Source organism: Homo sapiens, chromosome 3 (genome assembly GCF_000001405.40).
Source record: "Homo sapiens chromosome 3, GRCh38.p14 Primary Assembly".
Lineage (NCBI taxonomy): Eukaryota > Metazoa > Chordata > Mammalia > Primates > Hominidae > Homo > Homo sapiens.
The window spans coordinates 36,684,694-36,708,130 of record NC_000003.12 but is presented as its reverse complement, the minus strand read 5'-3'; the positions used below and the strand labels follow the sequence as shown (position 1 = coordinate 36,708,130).

The 23,437-nt window shown below is 41.8% G+C and overlaps 1 pseudogene, besides 2 other annotated features; it reads right to left on the bottom strand.

The window, feature by feature from the left end:
• Positions 6,859 to 7,153: an enhancer, noted in NCBI's record as "tiled region #13437; K562 Activating DNase matched - State 12:CtcfO". NCBI's record gives its function as "activates a minimal TATA promoter and a strong SV40 promoter by Sharpr-MPRA in K562 cells {active_cell/tissue: K562}" and the evidence as "EXISTENCE:reporter gene assay evidence [ECO:0000049][PMID:27701403]".
• Positions 9,408 to 10,062: an enhancer, noted in NCBI's record as "NANOG hESC enhancer chr3:36739560-36740214 (GRCh37/hg19 assembly coordinates)". NCBI's record gives its function as "activates a minimal SCP1, AML or CMV promoter by ChIP-STARR-seq in naive H9 embryonic stem cells {active_cell/tissue: H9 hESC(naive)}" and the evidence as "EXISTENCE:reporter gene assay evidence [ECO:0000049][PMID:30033119]".
• RN7SKP227 (RN7SK pseudogene 227) lies at positions 22,761 to 23,091 on the bottom strand (annotated as a pseudogene).

The window sequence follows — 23,437 nt, the reverse complement described above, 5'->3', positions numbered from 1 at the left end:
AGTATGATTTAAATAGGAATTCTTCCTAAACCTCGGATGTCATTTTTAACTGACATGTTTAAATTTTTATGTTTTTCCAGCAAATATAGATTCATGCAGTCTTAATTCAAGCTGCTTAATTAGCCCATTGACCTTGGTTTCCCTATCTGGATACAGCAGGTGTTAAAATTTGTCTGAAGCCACAGGTATGCAACAATTATTGCCTAATTTTATTTTCTGTAAATCTAATTATGTTTTCAGTGTGTACCTCCATCCTGCTGGCCAGCAGGCGGTGATCTTAGCTGTCACTTCACATTGGACTGCAGTCCCTGCATCTTATGAAGTGCTAAGTCATGGGGTGCATCCTTTAGTCACTAGTTCCCCTGGGGTTACTACTGACTCACTCACCGTCCCTGCCCAGTGGTTCCCTGCTGCTTCCTTGTCACTCTAGGGCCAAAGAATACTCTGTACAACTGCCCGTGGCCCTCTTTCCATGGCCACACTGATGATTCCTCCTTGCCGTCCTGACCCCTTGCAGTGTCACCACTTGGTTCCCGGGGTTTCCAGAGCCTATAGAATTCTTTTTCTCAATTTCCTTGAGCTAGGAAGGCTCTCTTTGTATGATTTCGGAAGAACCTTTTCTTCTTTTCTGTCTGTAAACCCCTTTCTCTCTTCCTACATGCTCCACAGACCTCCAAATCCTACTCTGGGCAGGGCTGGGATCAGGTGAGGTGGATCAGGTATCCTCCTCACCCGCTACATTTAAGTCTGTGCCTCAAAAATCAGATTTCTTTTGGTATCTATTTTGTTTTTCTAAACTATTGCATGAAAAAATTACTTATCTTGATTACTGAGTGTTTTGGTAGCTCCTTAAATTTTGCAGCTGAGGAGGCTAGGTGCAGTGGCTCCCATCTGTAATCCTAACACTTTGGGAGGCTGAGGCAGGAGGATTGCTTAAGCTCAGGAGTTTGGGACCAGCCTGGGAAACTTAGTGAGACCTCATCTCTATAAAAAAGTAAAAAATTAGCCAGGCATGGTGGCATGTGCCTATAGTCCCAGCTACTCGGGAGGCTGAGGTGGGAGGATGGCTTGACCCTGGGAGGTGAAGGTTGCAGTGAGCTGAGATCATGCCACTACACTCCAGCCTGGGCAACAGAGCCTGATCCAGTCTGAAAAAAAAATTTGCAACTGAGGATAGTGCCTCACTCACCTCACCCTAATTCTGGTTGTGGATTTTGGGAACAAACACAGTGATCCTATGGCTTATGTATTGATATAGTTTGGATGTTTGTCCCTTCCAAATCTCATGTTGAAATGTGATTACTGGTGTTGGAGATGGGGCCTGATGGGAGGTGTTTGGGTAATGGGGTGGATCCCTCATGAATGGCTTGGTGCTCTCCACTTGGTAATGAGTTCATGTGAGATCTGGTTGCTGAAAAGAATCCGCTGCCTCTCTCTCTTGCTTCTTTTGTTTTTTTTTTTCTCTCTTTCTTGCTCCCTCTCTCACCATGTGATATGCTGTTTCCCCTTGCCTTCTGCCATTATTGTAATCTTCCTGAGGCCTCACCAGAAGAAGATGCCCACACAACATTTTCTGGATAGCCTGCAGAACTGTGAGTCAAAGTAAACCTCTTTTCTTTATAAATTATTCAGTGTCAGGTATTCCTTCATAGCAATGCAAATGGACTAATACACGTCTTCTTTCTCTCTTGCCATGTATCCTAAGAACCAGCTTGAAATGAGAGAAAGAGGGGAAATTTAAGGTGGAAAAACTGTATAATTACTATCTAGGGATGTTATTTAGCCACAAATAGAATTAGAGGGATGGGCTTTATCTCAAGAGCTCATTCCTCAAGAGTATATATATATATAGTGCTCTCCTGCCTATGCTTCTAATACCAGGGGGAGGACGAGGCCATGTCTGATATCTTGGATAGGTATGTAAAAAGGAAGACACTTGCTCCCCCATTCACCTCAATCATCAGCAGGAATTAAAGTTGCTTTTCAGCTCAGATTCATGGCTGCGGAGACATAACCAACTGACACAGTCTCACTACTACTAAAGTTACAACAGAAATGACAGTGGGGCCAGGCGTGGTGGCTCACGCCTGTAATCCCAGCACTTTGAGGCCGAGGTGGGCAGATCACAAGGTCAGGAGTTCGAGACCAACCTGGCCAGCATGGTGACACCCCATCTCTACTAAAAATACAAAAATTACCTGGGCGTGGTGGCAGGTGCCTGTAATCCCAGCTACTCAGGAGATTGAGGCAGGAGAATTGCTTGAACCTGGGAGGCGGAGGTTGCAGTGATTTGAGATCATGCCACTGCACTCCAGCCTAGGCGACAGAGCGAGACTCCATCCCAAAAAGTAAAAAAGAAAAAAGAAATGACGGTGGCCCATGACCTGTTGATGTCTCTTAGTTTCAATTTTCCTTATTTCTTTGAGGCTCAACTCTTCACTTTCTGGCTGTGGCCCTAGGCTGATTTGTACTTTTGGACTTGTTAAGAAACAAAACCAAAAACAGTTTTTCAAGAAGAGCCTCCATTCTCCAAATTGAGATCAGTGAAGTTGGATTCTATTTTTATAAAAGGCTCAACTTCTGCCCAGTAGCTCCAGCTCAGCACTATCATTAAGTAGGGAGAGAGGAGGCTTCAAACGTGAGGGTGATTCCTTTTATTGTGCTTCTCACTTCAAACTTCCCCTCAGGGAGGAAGAAATCAAAATCAGAGAAACAATATAAGGTTGTGAAAAGTCGGCGGAGCTGCTCTCCCTCCTGGAATCAGAGGATTCTGGGTCTTTGTACCTGCGAGGCAGCCACTTTCAAGCTACCTGGCTTGACTCGTTCAGCCCTCATAAAAATCGTTGAAGGGCTGAACATCACTCTGTTTCTCCGCTTTGTCTACTCCCTTGAAAATAAACAGAAGCACCATGGGACATTTTGTCCCACATTTGCTGCTTCTGAGGGTTTTTTCCTTTACCAGGCTTCCCAACACAGACTTCTTCCCTTCCATAATCTCTGAGTGACTGAGTGTTGTTTTCCATGGTTCTGTTTTCCCAGGTTGTGCTTTCATGGCTGGCTCACATCCCTCTCAAACAGAACAGAGACAGCAGCTGGGTCTCGTCCCTCGCAGATGGGTTCCTCTTACCTCTGCTTTGTTCCTTCCTGCTTATTACACTGTTCTTGACAATGGATCCATGCCTTATGAGCTGCATCTTCATCGGGAATCAGGGATTTGCCAGGAAGATGAACAGCCCAAACAACTCAGGTGGAAAGAGGGCTTATTGAAGGGTCGTGGGGGGAATCTCCAGGAAAAGATCTTCCTGAGAATAAGACAGTCACCTGCTTGGCTTCTCCAGTCTTGCTGTCCCTCTGAGGCTCAGTGAGCTCTCGGCAAGGCCTTGGAACAGGGTGTTCTCTCTTTTCTCTGCTGCACTCCAGTGCACTTCACACCGGCTTCCTGGGTCTTGCTCACTCACATTTATGGGTGTCTTGGAGCCCGCTCTGGCCCCCAAGCCTCCATTACCTTACAGCTTGTCTCCTTAGAGCTAATCTGATTGATACTGAGTCATGTATGGATCTTTTTTAGAGGAAAGAAATTCTCAGGGTTCCATATCCGAATTCCTGGGGAAGAAACTGACTCAGCCTGGGTCAGGTGTCCACCTCCAGTCCAATTAGCTGTGTCAGCTAGTGGCGGCAGGTCACATGGTACATGGGCTGGCCTTTTTAGAGGAGAATGAGTGTGGGTAGATTTCAAAGAAGAGGAGGGTCTTGGGTGTGTAGGAAATGGTTAGAGTGTCTAGTGCCATCCCTAAGTGCTACTTCCCTACTTTCTGCCCATCACTCTGGAGCACAGCCCGGTAAGCTTTCCTTTCAAGGAAACATGATCTTCTGATAGTCTCACTCCCTGGCCTTCTGTTTTGGGTTCTGATGTTGGTAGATTGCTTAGAGAGGTCTTCCTCACACCAAGATTAAATATTAAGACACCCTCCTGTGTATACACTTATTAAATATTTAAACAGTAAATATTTCATCCATCCAGAATTTTTTTTGGTGCAAGGAGTTAAATAGGGAATCCAGCTCTATTTTTCTCCTCCAGGAGCTAATCACTTGTTCTGACACAATTCTTATTTATCTATTCATTTTTAAAAAAAATTTCAAGAATACCTCATTTATTATATACTACATTTTCTTATGCATTAAGTCTATATCTAGGCCATATTCTGTTTCATTAGCCTGCGAATCCATGTGCCAGAGTTGCAATAGTTTAGTTAGTATGGGCTTCTTCTTCTTTTTTTTTTTTTGAAACAGGGTCTCACTTTGTCACTCAGGCTGGAGTACAGTGGCACAATCACTGCTCACTCTAGCCCTGACCACCTGGACTCAATCAATCCTCCCGCCTTGGTCTCCCCAGTAGCTGGGACTACAGGTACACACCATCATGCCCGGCTAAGTTTTGTATTTTTTGTAGAGATGGGGTTACACCACACTGCCCAGGCTGGGCTCAAACTCCTGGGCTCAAGTGATTCTCCTGCCTCAGCCTCTCAAAGTGCTGGGATTATAGGAGTGAGCCACCGTGCCCAGATGGGCTGCTTCTTTTAAACTGTGGAGTCATTTCTCACATCCTGTGATTATTCCCATTGTTTATTTTCATAGACAAGACTGGTCTCATTTGCATAATACTGGACACTCGGGCAGGTCCATTGAGGGTCAGTGGAGGGCTTCCTCTCCATGGAGGGAGGCATCTTACCATAGGAGTGCCACCTTTGAGCATTTTCTCTTCCATGTCCATGTCAGCAGCCCAAGGCTGCCAAGAGCAAGGTCTTCTCACCACCCAGCCCAGTGGCCAATGGCAGGAGTCATTACCAGCAGGGCCTATGTACCCTAGGGCTGACTATCCCCATGTACAGTGTATGCAGGATGATCACCAATGAGAGCTGAGGTCACCCTCAATTCCATTCCTTGGGACCTTGGCAACAGGCCACAGGGCCACTCCTGCAAGGCATTGTTCTCCACTGACTGCAAGCACCATCCACCTCCATCTCTAACTTCTTTGGTCCCAAGCTCAGGTGAAAGCCAGGTTCCTGGCATCCCATCACTTCATGCCCAGTTGAGCCCTTCTTAGACGTCCATGTAGCAGATGGTGAAAAGGACAGCACTTCTTCCAGGTTCCCTTTATCAGTTTAACCCCTATTTCAGTTTTTAAGTTTTAGGCTTAAAGCCCTTCTCTGGCTTCCTGTTAAGAAACCTGTTAGGATTTAGAACGTTGTTTTTTTTTTGAGACAGAGTCTCGCTCTGTCGCCCAGGCTGGAGTGCGTTGGTGCCATCTCGGCTCACTGCAAGCTCCGCCTTCCGGGTTCACGCCATTCTCCTGCCTCAGCCTCCCGGGTAGCTGGGACTGCAGGTGCCTGCCATCACGCCGGGCTAATTTTTTTGTATTTTTAGTACTGACGGGGGTTCACGGTGTTAGCCAGGATGGTCTCGATCTCCTGATCTTGTGATCCTCCCGCCTCGGCCTCCCAAAGTGCTGGGGTTACAGGCGTGAGCCACTGCGCCCGGCTGACTTAGAATTTCTTACCCTGAAGTTTATTTTGTTATTTTGATGGAGATTTGATGGGGGAAGAGAATAAATTACATGGACTTAATTTACCACTTGGATTGGAGGTGCTACATTTTTTTAAAGGAAGTAGTGGGAAAGTAAATTATTCCTTTCCTTGAAAGCAGTGCTTCTAAAATGTGGATCTGCAATAGATGTATTATTTAGCCATAATTCTACCTTTCCACCTCTCCCTCATCCTAGGCAACCTTCGTGGGAGGGAATGTGCTTCTCTCCTCCATTGATGTTAGCCATGTGACTGGCTTTGGCCAATGAGATATGAGCAGAGGCTTTACATATATTTGCCTGTTTGGCCTCTCGTGCTTCTGCCGTCTGCATGTCCTGAGAACTTCTGGTTCACAGATGAGAGACACATGGAGCAGACATGAACCTGGCCTGTAGACTGATGCAGAGTGGCCCTAAGTGACCTGCAGACACGTGAATGAGGAAAACAAATCGTTGTTACTGTAAGTCATTGAAACATTGGGGTTGTTACACAGCATGGCACTATCTCAGCCAAAACCTGACTAATACTGAGTCACGTATGGATCTTTTTTAGAGGAAAGAAATTCTGGCAAACTCTCTGTGTTGATATTACTTACTAATTCATTTAACAAATAATACTGTGTGTGTGAGTGAGAGAGAGAGACAGCGAGAGAGAGAGAGAGAGAGAGAGAGAGAGAGAGAGAGAGAGAGAGAGAGAGAGGAAGACCAGTTAGAAGTAATTAAATCATTTTATACAATGAAACTTAAATATTTCAAACAATACTAGGTATACATTTCTTACCCTTGTAATCAATAATCATAAAGCAAAATAACATTGCAAATTAAGTTAAAATAAAACTACATCAATAATCTATGTCAACTTAATGGGGTAGATGATGCTTTTCTTTCTTATTTTTCATGCTACAAACAAGCTCCTAACTGCTCTGTCTCAGGTTCTTTTGAGTTAGGTGTGCTTACACCCTTGTGAACCCTGCATCACTTAAGTCTCACATCACTTTTCCGTAATCACTGTGGAGCTTGCAGCTGAGTCCTTTGGCTTTTGTTAGTATAAATGCTTCCTTAATGAGTTAGTCCACTTCTGTTCTGTTTCATTAACCTTCAACAATTAAAATAACAGCACCTGCCACGACCTCCTAGCAATATCCTAACAATGCAAAATAAAGGTCTGGAATCTGGTTTTATGATTTTCCTTTACTTTATCAGTCTGACAACCTGGCATATGTTTGGATTAACTTTAAAAATTTATTATAAAAGTGAAAAATAATGCAACAGATCACACATCTTGGACTTTGATAGCATACTCATTCAGTTTGAGACCCTCTCCATTGAAGCACATTTTGTTGATGTTGAAGAGAAAGGAAAGACAAACCAGGCTTTGCACAGCCTGGGCAGCAGGTGGTGCTCTTGACATTGGAATCACACAGGGCCTGCAGTCCTGGGTGCGTTGGTCGTCTATGAGATATAATTTACTGGTGTTGCATTGCAGTGGGTTTGTTGCTTTTTAATCTTTAAAAAATACCCTCTATGTGATGACCTTATCTGGGCCGAGTCAGCCAAGCTTAGCCTAATAAAGCACAGGCAAGTGACTGCTGGGCTGCAGTTTGGTCCTTGGGCTATGTTCTATATATATATACATACATATATATATATATATATATACACATATATATATATATATATATATATATTTTTTTTTTTTTTTTTTTTTTTTTTTTTCCTGGGCTGTAAAAGCAATGCTGGCCCCAGCCTGATAGCCAGTGGTTTGCTGGGGAGACCTTTGTACCTCCCTAGATACAGGCAGACTGGATCTTTCTAAGCTAGTCCACTCCAGAGCCCCACACTTGCAGGCTAGCTGGTCAATTCTCATGCTAAGGCAGAGGTATAAGTCCTTTCTGCTCTAGTCTGCAAACAGTCAAAAGGGTCTTTAAAATGCAAATCTGGTGATTTTACCCTTAGCAACATGAAAATCCCAGTATACATTTCTCTTCAATTGTGTGGGATCATAAGACACTTTGTTTTCAATTTGCTATGTGGCCTCAACCACGCTAAGGCTTGTTTTTCTATTTGGAATCTTGGAATAACAGCATCTTCTTAAGGATGTTCATTTATAGGATGTCTCACTTATATGATTTATAATGAAAGTCACCCGGAGTTTTTCTGGAGATATTCAACATAGAGTCATAAAGTTTAAGATGTAGCTATCATCTTGTTCACCTTACTCCTCTTACATCTGGATATCTAATGCCCAGGAAGGGGAAATAAACTTGCTCAAGGGAGCCGAGTGGATGAGTAACACAGCTTAGGTCTTTCTCTTCCAATCCAGTTTTTAAAAACACCAGAATTTCCCCCCAACCATAGTGCAAAACCTATGTACATTGTCATGCTGGCATTGTACTAGGGGCTGTTCACCTGGGTCTGTCTGGCCCAGGTAATCCCTATTGTTGAAATAGATTGAACTCATGCTGTAGACTGACAATATTATATACATTCAGTCTCCAATAATGTAACTCAATCTAGGGCATCGTCAAGTGTGGGACTTGTAGACATTATAACATCAGATTGAAGATATCTTTGATGACATACATATATCTATGCTTCCAGATTTTAGGGACTCCCATAACAAGTGTGGCTTTTTTTTAAGTTGAGGGCTAATTAACATATAATAAAACACACTGATCTTAAGTGTTTAGTTTGATGAGTTTTGACAATTGAGTAATTGCCTTTTGAGAACAAAACTGACTATACATCTAAGTCTCACATAAGGCCTGTCTGGAAAGGAAGACAAAAATCTTAGAGACCCTGCCAGTTCTCCTGGTCTTCTTAAGAAAAATATTCTGATTATGCATTCCCAGAAATTCACCAAACCTCCTATACCTTGTGAGAAATATGCCTGAGCCAATTTTATTTAGAACTCAAAGGGCAAAGTGACCACACACAACAGCTGTAGCTGCTAATCAGAGGCTCTGATTTGTGTTTCCAGGTGCCCCTCACTAAGGATCCAGTCACTCTTCACTAATGCAGGTCAAATACTAGGTTTGTCTTGGTCCACTATGGGGACTGTGTGTGGCTATGGGTTTTAAATGCTTGGATTTTAATTCCTTACTTCTGAGTCTTTGTCCTCAGTCTCCATCTTATATTTCCTCCTAGGTCCCTATAATTCTAGTAGCAGGTTTTGCAAAGTCTGGTCCTGCCCAAGTGTTTGGGGTGGTATAAACCTGAGTCTTTAATGTAGGGTGGGCGGGAAGGATCACCTCTTTTATGTTGTAATATTGTTTTGTTTTTTGTTTTTTTGTGATGGAGTTTCGCTCTTGTTGCCCAGACTGGAGTACAATGGCACAATTTTGGCTCACTGCAACTTTTGCCTCCTGGGTTCGAGCGATGCTCCTGCCTCAGCCTCCCGAGTAGCTGGGATTACAGGCATGTGCCATCACGCCCAGCTAATTTTTTGTATTTTTAGTAGAGACAGGGTTTCACCATATTGGTCAGGCTGGTCTTGAACTCCTGACCTCTGGTGATCCACCCGCCTTGGCCTCTCAAAATGCTGGTATTACAGGCATGAGCCACCGTGCCCAGCCTTTTTATGTTGTAATATAGAAGCCCCATGCTGCTAGGCTGACAGGAAGTTTCACCTCTGGTATAACTGTGGGCATCTCTTCACCCTGGGGTTGTGCCAAGGTCCTGGGGGTCCTTCATGGAGATACACAAAGGGGAAAACCTCTCCAGTCATGAGCCATGGGTCCACACTGGCTAGTGCTGAGGCCTGTTTATGTTTCACTTGAGACACCATAATCTTTGGTGAGGCCAGGAGGCCTGGTGCTTTGGGTCACTGGTCCAGCCCCCTGACCCCAGTATCCCCTCGAGGTCTTAGGACCTACTTGGAATACTGTCCCCATAAACTCATGGGGCTCATAGACATTTTTACCATCAGGAGTTCTGCCCTGCACTCTCTCGTTGCCAGCATAAGAGCCCTCTTTCCATTGTTTATGGGACACCCAGTATTTCCTCATCAGAGGGTTGTTACAGAGAACAGAACAGGTTTCTGACCTCAAGTAGCTTCTGTCCCTGGCTCTGCAAAAATGCCCTGAGGTAAAGAATTACAAAGGCTGCTTGCATGAAATCCAATGAGAGGAAAACAGTGCTGAGCAGAACACAGGTTAATATCTCAAAGGAAGTATTCTCTTTCAAGTGTTTATAGTACCTTGATGGCCTGCTTTGCTTATGATGCTCCACGGTTCTCTTTCCTGCTCACTTTCAGAACATTCTGTGTCCCCTTTGTCTGCTGGAGTTCCCCTGTAAGACTAAGAGTTATCATGGCAGGGACTTCATGATACTTTTACCTGGAAATAGTCATTTTCTGTACCCAGCTGGGCTGAAAGAACACCTCTTGGCACATTCCAACAGTGGTCCTGGCTGATTTGATGTCTAATGCAACCCAACAAAGAAAATAAATAAATTGCTTTATTTCAAATTGAACTTGGGTATGTCTGAGTTTTTCCTTATTATACTCATTACCAGGACTGGATAAATATTGGCAGTTGAACAAGAGTGAGCAGGTGAGAGAAAGAATTAAAAGCAGGGTGAAGCTTTGACTTTTAGGGTATACCCTTTTGGTTTAGGTTTTGCTGGTGTCTTCAGGCTCTGCATTTTGGCACATCATCAAGGAACCAGGATATGGTGCTGTGGGCAGTATCATGTTCCTTTTACGCCAGGCGAGGAGAGAATCTATCCTTGTCACCAGGGGACACTGTGTGTCTGGCCTGGGGAGCTAGCTTGGCTGTGATCAGGGAGCGACTGACTTTAGTTAGGTGCAGCAATGCCTGGGCCTGCATCCTGCTCCCTGACCCTAAACCTGAGGGATTGGAACTATATTGGCTTCTGATAAATGCTTTCCCTGACAATCTGTGTTTGGTATCTTTCTCATTTTCTGCCATGCTACGTTTAGTCTCTCAAAATGGGATATTTCTGTCTGACGAGATAAGGGTTATGTCATCATAACAAGATATTCTTGCTCATGGCAATGACAAGCTTCATGGATAAACTCTAAATGTGCAGACCTGGTCCCTGATCCTCACCCAATCTCCTTGGCTTAGCTTCCCTCCATCCCAGAGGTCAGCGAGGGAGAGTGTGGGTGGACCAGGCTCAGGGATGGACTGATGCTTTGACAGGGAGCAGGAGAGGGATAAGCTGAGGCTGTCGGGGGTCAGAGGATGGGGTTGTTGATAGGAAAGGGCTCAGAAGCTGAGTGACGCTGGGGGAAGCTGTGGGGTTGTGGGAGGGGCTTATGCACATTTACAAAAAAGCATAAGAGTGCTTTTTACACTTTGATAAGGTCTATTTTGTTATAGATGCTATAAAAAGCTAGATTAAAAGTCCTGAAAGTCAGAAGGGGTTTGTTAAATTGCTGCTTTGAGATCTTCTGATTCTTCCTATGGACAGTGCCAGCCATGGAGAGCATGTTTTCCGGGATTAACCAGGATGTGAGCTGAGCTGAGCTGCATCTGCTGTAAAGGGATGTCTGGAAGGACAGGGCCTGGGGGCCTGGAGACAGCTGTGAGGCTGTGGCCACACTTGAGGGTTGCAAAGCACTCAAGGTACATTTCTGCCCCATCTCTGTCTGTGAGAAAGAGAAAGTTTGTTAGGGTTTGAATGTCAGTCCTGGGGACAACTAATTCTCTCTCTCTCTCTCTCTTTCTCTCACCAGCTAAAAGCCTCAATTTCTCGATCAGGGTAGTAATAAATGCATAGGGCTGCTTTGCCCAAGCTTGCCTGGAACTAGCTGTCGTGAAAAGAAGATAAGGTCTTGGGACTGAAATGTTCAAATTGTACAATTTTTTTTTCTAATAACAGAGTTGCTGACAGTTGTGAGGACTATACCATTTTAACCTTTTAAAATAGTTGAGGTCAGCCAACATTTTAAAATCAGAGAACTAAAATGAGTTAGACATACCCAGGACATGTTGGGCATGTTGATTATGACTTCAGATATGTGGGTTTTCAGATGCTGAAAAAGATCAATTTGTTATAAACCAAATTTCCATTGATATGATGAAAGTGTGTTTTTTATGGATGCAAACTGCAAAACCTCAGCAATATTTAGGTTTGAAAGTTGTGTGGAAGGTTGTCAATGTTTTGGTGACTTACAATATTTACTTTTCTAGGGCAGTTTGCTTGTCAACTCTCCAGGATTGGTTGAACATTTCCTAGAACCTTCTAGAATACTCCTAACTTCTAAGAATTTGTTTTTTTCTAGAAGGTTTGGGAGAGTTAGGCTAGGTCAGATACATAGGAGGCGTATGAGCACATTGTCTTACCCAGAACCATGACTTCTCCACAGTTGTTTCCAGCACTCTCCTGCCCTTCCTTCCACAAAAAAAGGAGGGAAATACTTCCTAGCCTTAACCTCACAAGTACCCACGGTTGATCACGGAGTGATTAGTTTCCTTGACAAAGTATTTTTAAATTTTTTTGGAGGGAAATATGGTAGTGTGTTAGTCAGCTATTACATGTAATGAGCAACCACAAAAATCTCAGGAATATACAACAGGAACATTCATCTGCAGGTTAGTGGATGTGTCTGTTGATCTCAGCTGGGTTTGCCCATGTATCATGAGTTGGCTGAGGATTGACTGATGTAACACAGCTGAGTGGATCTGCTTTGACTGCAATAGCTGGGGAAGCTCTACTTCTCACTGCAAGTCTGTAGGTCTCTTGGGCAGTGTCTCTCATGCTTCCTGGGCCAGCAGTCTATCCAGGGCATGTCCTTATTATGGCAATGGCAGAAGTACACAGGAATACTCCACTACAAAAGCATATTTCAAGCCTCAGCTTCATGACATATCTGCTCAGATCCCATTGGTAACTTTGAGAGCTGATCCCAAAATCAAGGGGTGGTGAAATACACTCCACTGGTGTCAACACAGGGAACTGGAAAATCACGTGGGAAAGGGTGTGGACATAGGGAGGTGTAAAAAATTGGCCTTCAAAATGTAATCTACCACAGTGCATATGAGATACTTCTCTGTATTGCTCAAAAAACCTCAATGGCTTTGCAATACCCTTTGCCTGGCACTGAAGTCTAAAGGCAATCCTTTACCTTCCTTTATAACCTTCTTTTCTATCACCTTTCAGTAATACCTCCCACCTTCACCTCCCAGCCAAACACATCTTAAACATGCCTACGTTTCCTTGGGCAGCCCTCTCTAGTTGTTTACCTAAGCTCCATTCTTGCTTCATAGTGAAATGTAGGGTCTGCTTCCTCCTTGCAGCTCTTGGAGGGCTGGACAGGTCTATTGTACCTCCAAATCTCTGGCATCCAGCCTGGCACCTAGCATGCTGTCGAGTGCTTAGTAAGTTATTTTTTATTTTTATTTTTGCCCAGGAGCTGGGAGTGAAAAAGGAAGGAGAAAGGAAAGTTAAGAGGATCCAGAGCCTCTGCCTCATCCAGCTTCAGGGTACCCTGTCCCTGTCATTCTCACATTGGAGTTAGGACACAGCTGAGACAGAGCAATTCATGGGGTATTTTCAAGTCCTACTTTCATTTCCCTGGATACTCAAACTGATTGTTCTTCTATTCCAATACCTGATTTTCAGCCTCATTGATCTGCCTCTATTAGTTTATTCAGGGTTGATTAGGTGATGAGACAATTGGCTTGTATTAACTGGATAATAAAATATATATATTTATGAGCTGTGAAACCATCTCCTTATACTGTTGGTCCCATCTTGTGGGTCTTATCCTGGGGTTTGTTCATGTTGCTATCCTCCTGGAATATTTTTACCTTCCTAGAAGTCAAAGAAAAATTCAAATTCCATCTCTTGGGGCCTTTTTTAGAGTCAGAGAGCTCAAGGGAAATCCTATCTTCATCACTCTTTAAGTAAATTACTTAATCACTCTGACTCTTGGATTCTTCATTTTTAAAGATTAAACAATATAACGTGCCAAATGTTTAAGATGGGCATCATACACAGTGTATGTAAAAATCTACCCTTTTATAATGAAAAATTTCAGATATATTCCAAAGTAGAGAACATTATAAACTTCTAGGTACCTAAGACCCAGCTTTAATAGCTAGCAACATTTTGCCAATCTTGTTACATCAGTCCTCCCGCTTTTTATGTTTTTGGAGAGTTTTTAAGCAAACCCCAAACATTATATCATTTTACCCTTAAATCCATGTAGTAGACTGTTGAAAAATGTTCCCCTTATATTTTCCAGTGTCCGTGGGTCTTTGGGCTCCTAAAGCTCTCTAGTTTCTGCTCGGTATACTTAGCAATTAATCATGTAGCTTTGCCATGATTTTCCTTTGTTTCCCAAGGAAAATTGAAAGCAAGAGCAGAAGATTTTGCTTAGCCTTGTCCTTATGTTCAGCTATGTGATAAGAGTCATGGGGGTGTTAGAATAGGCAGACAGCCAGAAATGAGCAGGCAAGGGAGTCCCTGGGAAAATAAGTCCTAGAGATGCTGCCCACTGACAGCAAAAAAAGACAGTGGCTACACTGGCTGCTTCTGGCCTTGTGGTTGGGCTCCTCTGACCCCGAAGGGGACTTATTTGGCCCTTGCTGGAGATAACCATGGTAGGGACTTTCCCTGCTGTCAAGCATGCACACTCCTCCAGTAACTCAACATAGAGTACCCTTTTGCCCATTAGAGTAGTAAAAACACACCCCTTGGTGGAGATTTTAAATGCTGGAGAGACATGCGATGTGTGTACTAGCACGGACAACCACAGAGCATGCATGTCCAAGGGGACTTCCTAAAACGTGCTTGCAAGTGACACCCTCTCATGCCCTTACATGAATAATCATGTAGGATTCTCATAAAGAGAGTCCTGTGGCACTAGCTGCTACTGGCTCAGTCTCTCTTTCAGGCAGCCCACTCTGACTTCTTCTCGTACTGTCTCTTTAAACACTTTCTTGATGACACTGCTACTGTTATTTTTCCAGCTGGGCCAGCCTGAAGCTGTTTTCCAGCTGCATCAGCCCAATCCTCTTTGGGAGTGTACTCTTATGTCTTTAATAAACCTTTTGCTTGCATTACTAATTGTCTCTTGGCTGAATTCTTTCTCCCAAATCTCCCAGGATCAAGGACCATGCACCCCTGCTGGTAGCAGGGGGACAAGAAAATGTGTTTCAACAAATAAACAATAAAGGAGAGTAGTTGTTACAGCAGGTGCTACTGATGCATGGGGACTATGGAAACAGTTGAGTTTTGTATTTGAAGGATGAGTAGGATTAGCTGTGAATCATGTTAGCAGGGTTGGGGCTAACCTTCAATCAAAGGTTGATATATGAAGTATTTCTACAATGTAATAAAGAAACTGGAATCCTAGCGCCAAAGGAGCACCATCTCATAGATAAGGCAGCAAAACCCTGAATGGTGACATGAATAGCTCAGTGTAACAGGCTGATAGAGGTCAGCCTGGTGTAGGTGCCTAGAACTCCAATATTCTGTTATTTACTCCTGATTTACTTCTGTGCTCTATAGAGTCCTGGGCATTCCTGGAGGGGCCTCAGAAGCTGACTGAGGCCATGGGGTACGTCTCAAGTAGGGGAAGCTCTGGACTTTCATCTGTGCTATGTGTTTCTCATAAGATTTCCCCTGAAGAAGAAAAGGGTTCCGCGACTAAAAAAGAGTTTGCAAACCATTGCTCCATGTGATTCTGCATATTCCTTAAGATGGCTTGCAGTAGCAGGTAACTCACAAACCCCATTCTACTACTTGACAGGGTGAGAAGTGGGACTTAACACATTCCCTCTTATTTACAATATCATAGAAATGCATCTAACAAAAAGAGCAAAAATGTGTCTCTGACAGAAAAATTTTAGCAAATAATTTTTTTTTTCAAGAGAGGGTTTCACTCCGTTGCCCAGGTTGGAGTGAAGTGGCATGATTATGGCTTGCTGGAGACTTTACCTCTCAGGCTCAAGTGATCCACCCCACTCAGCCTCTGGAGTAGCTGGAACTACAGGTGCATGCCACCATGTAGCCACCTGGCTAATTTTTATGTTTTTTGTAGAGACAGGGTTTTGCCATCTTTCCCAGGCTGGTCTCAAACTCCTGGGCTGAAGTGATCTTTCTGCTTCTGCCTCCCAATGTGCTGGGATTACAAGTGTGAGCCACCATGCCTAACCTCAGCAATGCTGGTTTTTTTTAATATTGAGCAAACAGCTATGTGGCCTAGTTCAACACTTCTAATCTCTTTGAGTCTTGTTTTTTGTATCAGTAAAATCATGATTATCATGAGTACCAGGACACCTGTGGCAGAAGTTTGCATGGCACCATACCCCCTTGGACCACCTAGTATTGGGACATGTCTGGTGGACAATTCCATGCACTTCATAAGACCCACAATGAGTGTACTAGGAGCACAACTCAAGGTGTTTCTCTGTGTTCCTGTCCCTGGGAGTCCTCTGATGCTGTGAAAGGTCACTCAGCCTCAGGCAGGCACAATCCAAAAATGTAGAGGAGTTAATGCCCCAGGAGAAACTTTCAAGTAAAGGAGAATGGGAGTCCCAGATGGATTCTTCAGTCTCTCCATCTTCTGGTAGCACAATTCTGGGATGTGTTCTAGGCAGTTTCTCCGTGGTCCACATGGGATTGATCCCCAGTTGCCCGCATTGGTGATTAACTCACTAATATACTCACAAATACACAGTAGTATAAACGTCCATCAGCCAAAGGCCACAGGACCTATCTGAAGTCAAACAAGGTAAGGGTTTACAGTTTGCTGCAATGAGGGAGAACCATACCATGGGGAGTTGTAATAAAGAGTTAAGGTAGACTTGTGCTGGGTGATTTTGAAGAGGATTGTAGGCAGTAAGTTTTTTTATTCCCTGAATTGAGTGCTGAATGGGGTATTAGGGGAATTTGATGACTGGATATTTTAATAATTTTTATCTAAGAGGCAGGACTGATGAAGTGGAGCTAGGGTTGTTGTTGATAAAGAGGCCGAACACATTCATATTAGAAAGAAGGAGATATTTGATTATTTCTGTGGCTCCTCGGTGTCCTTGTCTTTGTGTTCAGTCATGATTGTGGGTGCTTTCCTTTTATTTTGTTCCACTATAAGTGGCTGGTCTGATTATTTTTGATATTCCGTGGAGATTGTCATCAGCTACCAGTTGCCAGCTATCAGGCCCTTTTACCCTGCTGCTGTTGGCCTTCCTCCTTCTCCTGCCTCCCTCGCTCCCTCACTTCTGCTTCCTGGGATCACCTCCCTAAAACACTATGCTCCCAGGTCTCACGCTTTGCCCTCCTGAGAACCCACAGTAATCCCACACCCTTTTCAGAAGCTTGATTCCTTGGGTTCTTGGAATGGCGTAGAAAATCTTAGGTTCCTAGTATCTTAAGGCATTTTTAGAATGCCGTGATAAGCATTACATCATGGAAGTCTGGATATAGTTACCTCCTTCTTACCTCAGAAGTATTCACTCATGATGATACGCATACACATTAAAAGACAAAAAAAAAAAAATAACTGTGAGCATGTCACAGCCCTTCCCAATTTCTGCTGACTGCTAGTGATATTGTCAGGGAGGAGTCTTCTTGCTACCATGGCCTTTGCCCTTAATTTAGAGGTGTTTCATCAGGAGGTTTACTGCCCCCTTTTTCATTGAGTTCTTAGTATATTGTGACACTGAACTGTAGCTGGACACTTTAACATTGGGCCATCCCCATGCTTGGCATGTCCAGATCAGCCAAATAGACCTAGCTACAATGCCTCCTATACCTCCGATGGGAGAAGGGCAAGATGCACTCCAAGGCAATAAAGATGGGTAGGTGCTCAGTGGGTGGCATTATCATCACCATCATCATATTTTATAACCAATAGGCTGTTTTTAAGTACAGTTTTAGATTTACAGGACAATTGAGCAGATAGTATAGAGAGTTCCATATACTCATCCTTCCACTCCCCTCCACCCAAAGAACACAATTTCCCTACTAGAAACACCTTGCATTAGTGTGGTACATATGTTACAATTAAACCATTATTAATACATTACTATTGACTATAACCCATAGATTACATTAAGGTTGACTCTTTGAGTTGTATAGTTCTATGGGTTTTGACAAATGCATAAAGACATGTATCTCCCATTACAGTTTCATAGAGAATAGTTTCACTGCCCTTAATATCCCCTGTGCTTCACCTATTCACCTATTTATCCTTTCCCCGCTTCCGTCCCCCAAACCTCCTTGCTGTATTTTGTTAAATAAATTAAGTAAGGCAGGATAACCTTCTATGACCCTGGAATATTAACCAGGATGGCTTTGCCTCTTGATGCCTGTTTCATCAGGAAGGTCAGTGGCTCCCTCTGTGTATATCTATCCTTCGGGGTAATATAGAGTGTCATCTTTCACGAAAGAAGGTGTGTAAAGTGCCCAGCATGAGGCAGGAGGCTTGGTGCAGGTCACCCCTCTTCCCCCTGCCTCTATTGCAGGCTAGCGGAGGCTCTGAAGTTGGAGAGAAAGTTGAGGCAGCCCTTGGAACCCAGGTAATTGAATATTTTTTTGTAATAATTCTTTTGCCTGCCTGCATCCTGAGGGGCTGAACAACGGGCTTTTCTGTCCCCAGGCAGGGGAGGAATCTAGTGGGAAATTTAATTTTCCTTGTGAGTTTACAGGAGTCAGGGGCCAAGACTTTAATTAATCACCATGAGAATCCTCCTCTGCCCAATTACTTGTGGGCATCACCTATCCTGAACTATCTTCTTGGGGTCGGCCATTCAGAGCAACCCAAATTAACCTCTCGCAATTGGTTCTGACCCTCCCTGACACCACCTGCTGAAGGCTGGCTCCCTCCAGTGGGGCCTCTCTGCCACCCCTATTCTGTTTTTATGTTGGAATAGCTCTTCTTTTATGCAGACTCTGCCGTCTGTGGCAGGATCTCACAACACAGATCTCTTTAAAGTTTCTGTTTAGCACAAGCTTTCATAATACAAATTGGAAATGATGCGATAGATTAATTAGGAAGCCTAGTATGCAATGTGGAGACAGATATTCATTCTAACTTGGAGCTTGCTCCATGAACATATGAAAAAAGTTGTTGTTTGCTACTCAAATACTTTGTTGAAGTGGCTTTGTGCTCAGTTTATCTTAACAGTGGTGGATTGGTCAGAGTCCTGCAGGGAACAGATGGTGCAAGCAATTATAATTTAGGAGAATTTAACGAAGAGGTGTTTGCAAAGATGTAGATAGGGTGAAGGGCACTAACAAAGAGTAGCAAGGCACTATAGGATCAAAATCAGTGGGAAGACATTGCCTTTCCTGACAGGCAAAGGGTTAGTGGTGATGTGAAGTTGGCAAGAGCTATAGCTGCTGGAGAGGACCTTCCCAAAAGGCAATGTGACCTTGGGTAGAAAAACAGAGACCATGTCTAACTATTGTCCAGTGGGGATGGAGCCAGGGAATAAACACATAATTTCTTCCCTCTGCCCTTCAGTTGCTTGCTGGTAACTCCATTTGTCAAATCCAATCAGAAGCCAGAGGGCAAACGAACCTGGGAAATGCATTCCACAAAGTCCAGCCTGCTGGGGCCCAGAGCAGGACAGAGAAGGGTGGACAACAGCTGGAGAGGAGTAAGTGGAGCAGCACAAAGTAGATTATAAGCAGGATAAAGGTGATAAGAATGTGTGGGAGATCAGGCCTAATAAATGTGCCAGTAGTGAAAGGAAAACATGCAGTAGTCTTGTATAATAGCCAGGTGGAATCAAATCTTCCACGTGCTCACTGATGTTTGATTTTGCAGCTATACGATGTAACTGTGAAAAAAACTTATTAGGTGCCACCCCCCACCCCAGTGTTTTCTCCTACTCAATCATTTAAGGGAATATCAAGTTGTGGTATATTTTTTTCCTGGATTTTATTTTCCTGTTTTTTTTTTAAAGGACAAAAAGAATGATGTCAAAATAAATAAACTTATTATTTTCTGGTACATGCTATAAGATTATGATAAATATTTTCAGTTCAAATAAATAACTGGATTTTTCTACCTAAAAGCCACTAAGTATTAAAATACTCAAGGAAGAATAAGTTGTGAATCTAAACTTCTCAAGGCCCCACCTCTTTACCATCTCTTCCCCTATTACCAGGGAAACAACTATTTTTTAAATTGGGATATCTCATTGTTGTTTTAATTTCTATTTCCCTGATGACTTATGATGTGGATCGTTTCATATGCTTATTTGCCATCTGTGCATCTTCTTTGGTGAAGTGTCTATTAGAGTCTTTGCAATATTTTTAAATTGGGTTGTTTGTGTTCTTACTGTTGAGTATCTTTGTTATGTTTTGAACGACAGTCCTTTATCAACTACGTCTTTTGTAAATATTTCTCCCAGTCTTTTGGCTTGTTTTTTCATTCTCTTGACAGTGTCCTTCATATCAAAATTTTTTAACTTTAATAAAGTCCAGCTTATAAATTCTTCCTTTCATGGATCATGCCTTTGATGTATCTAAAAAGTCATCACCAAACCCAAGGTTATCTAGATTTTCTCCTATATAATCTTGTAGGAGTTTTATAGTTTTGCATTTTAAATCTAGGTCTATGAGGCATCTTGAGTTAATTTTTGTGACGGGTGTAAGGTGTGTCTGTAGATTCATTTTATTTTATTTTTTGCATTTGGATGTTCAATTTTTCCAGCACCATTTATTGAAAAGACTATCTTTGCTCCACTGTACTGTCTTTTCTCCTTTGTCAAAGATTAGTTACTTATATTTATGTGGGCTTATTTCTAGGCTTTCCATTCTGTTAAATTGATATATTTATCTATTCTGTCACCAGTACCACACTGTCTTGATTACAGAATCTTTATAATGTCATGAGGTCAGGTAGTATCAGTCTTCCTTTAATATTGTGTTGGTTATTCTGTGCCTTTCGCCTCTATATGTAAACTTTAGAATAAGTTTGTTAATAGCTACAAAATAACTTGCTGGAATTTTGACTGTGATTTCATTAAATCTATAGATCAACTTGAGAAGAACTGACATCATGACACTATTGGGTCTTCCTACCCTCCAAAACAAAAATATCTCTTCACTTCTTTAGCTCTTTTGATTTGTTTGATCAGAGTTTGGAAGTTTTCCTCATATAGATCGTATACATATTTTATTAGATTTATACCTACGTATTTTATTTTTAAGAGGTGCTTATGTAAATGGCATTATTTTTTAATTTTTAATTTTACTTGTTCATTGCTGACATAAAGGAAAGTGATTGACTTTTTTGTATTAACCTTGTATCCTGCCACCTTGTTAAAATTGCCTTTTGGTTCCAGGGTTTTTTTTTTTTTTTGTGAGTTTTTTTGGATTTTCTTCATAGACAGTCATGTTACCTGTGAACTGGTTTGACTACTGTAGCTTTGTAACATGCTTTGAAGACAGGAAGTGTGAGGCCTCCAGCTTTTCTTCTTTCTCAAGATTATTTTGGATATTTGGGGTCCTTTGAGAGTTCATATTAATTTTAGGATATTCCTTTTTTTTCCTGCAAAAATTATGATTGAACTTTTGATAGGGATTGCATTGAATCTGTAGGTTACTTTGGGTAGTATGGACATTTTAACAAAATTAAGTCTTCCAATTCATGAACATATGATGTCTTTCTATTAATTTATGTCTTCTTTTATTTATTTCAGCAAGACAGTTTTATTTATTTACTCTTAATCAGTGTAGCTTTTATTTCCTGGTGTAAGGTAAGAGTTCATCTTCATTCTTTTTAATATAGAAATTGAATTTTTAAACTGCTATTTGTAGTTAGTTATTTCCTTTTCTTATTACACTAGTTAGGACTTTAAGTACAATGTTGAAACAGAATGATGAGAGGGGACTTCCTTGGCTTGTTCCTGATCTTAGTGAGAAAACTGACATTTTCTCACCATTAAGTATGTTAGCTGTAGAGTTTTTGAGGAAGTTCTATTCCTAATTCACTGAGAGATTTCAAAAAATCATGAATGGGTGTTGGGTTTTGTCAAATGCTTTTTCTACATCTATTGTGTGTTTTTTCTTCTTTAGCCTGTTGATATGATGTATTGCATTAATTGGTTTTCTACTGCCAAACAATGTTTGCATACTTACAATAAATCTCACTTGGTTGTGGTGTATAATTCTTTTCATACATTGTTAGGTTTGATTTCTTAATATTTTGTTGAGGAATTTTGCATCTATGTTCATAACAGATATTGGTCTGTAGTTTTATTTTCTTATATCTTTGGTTTTTGCATTAAGGTAACACTGACCTCATAAAATGAACTAGGAAGTATTCCCTCTGCTTCTGTCTTCTGAAAGAGATTGTAGAGAATTGGTATTTCTTCCTAAATCCTTGCTAGAATTCACCAGTGAACCCATCTAGGCCTGGTTCTTTCTGTTTTGGAAGGTTATAAATTATTGATTTAATTTCTTTAATAGATAAACGCCTATTCCAATGGTCTATTTCTTCTTGTGTAAGTTTTGACAGATTGTGTCTTTCTACGAATTGATCCACTTCAATTAGGTTATCAAATTTGTGGACATAGAGTCATTAATAGTACTCTTTTATTATTATTTTAATGTTCATAGGATTTTTAGTAATGTCTTTCTTTCATTTCTGTTATTAGTGACTTGTGTTCACTCCATTTTTTTTTTTCTTAGTTAGCCTGGCTAACTAAGTATTTTTTAACTACTATTTGTTGAAGACAATATGCTTTCTCTGTTGTGTTGTCTTGGCACCCTTGCTATGATTTGACCTATGGATTTATTTTTGGGCTTTCTTTTCTGTTCCATTGGTCTATATGTTTGGCTTTATGTAAATATTTGATTATGTTATTATGATAATATACACTTAAAATATTATGTAAATATTTGATTACTGTAGCTTTGTAATATGCTTTGAAGTGAGGAAGTGTGAAGCCTTCAGCTTTGTTCTTCTTTCTCAAGATTATTTTGGCTATTTGGGGTCCTTTGAGATTCCATAGAAATTTTGGGATATTCCTTTTATTTCTGCAAAAAATGTGATTAAGCTTTCAATAGGGATTGGATTGAATCTGTAGATTACTTTGGGCAGTACAGACATTTTCACAAAATGAAGTCTTCCAATTCATGAACATAGGATGTCTTTCCATTTATTTATGTCTTCTTTTATTTATTTTAGCATCGTTTTATAGTTTTCATTGTGCAAGTCTTTTGTCTCCTTGTGTTTTTTTGTTTTTTCAAAAGAAAGGCAGACTGCTATATGCAGCACCTCATTTGGAAGTGTCTGGAGTCTTGGAAGCTTGACTACCCTACATTCTCCTACAAATGGACCTTGAGAGCTTGTTTGGAGGTTCTAACAGGAGAATGCAGCTTCTTGTATACCCTTGACTGAAGACCAGTACTTCTCTATGGGTGATGGTCGTCCCCTTCGACCAGTGCGCAGCTTCAAGAGAGATGCACATGGAGCAGTGAGGGAGAAAAGAGACACCTGCCTATCCAGCTGGATCAGCCAAATCAACGCTGGCAATCAATGGGGTGACAGATGTTGCAGTGAGATCACCCTCACATCCTTTTTGTCTCCTTGTTAACTTTATTTCTTTTTGATGCTGTTGTAAATGGGATTGCATCGATTTTTAAAAAATTTATTTATTTATTTATTTAGTTTTTTCATAAGTTGTTGGGGTACAGGTGGTATTTGGTTGCATGAGTACGTCCTTTAGTGGTGATTTGTGAGATTTTGCTGCACCTGATTGCATCAAATTTTGGATGTGTGCCCTAGAGGTGGCATTGCTAGTCGTGTGATAGTTTTATTTGTAATTTTTTGAGGAATGTCCACACTGTTTACTAATTTCATTTTTGAAGTGCTTATTTCCTAATTTCTTTTTAAATTTATTTTTTTAATTGCTCGTTTTTAGT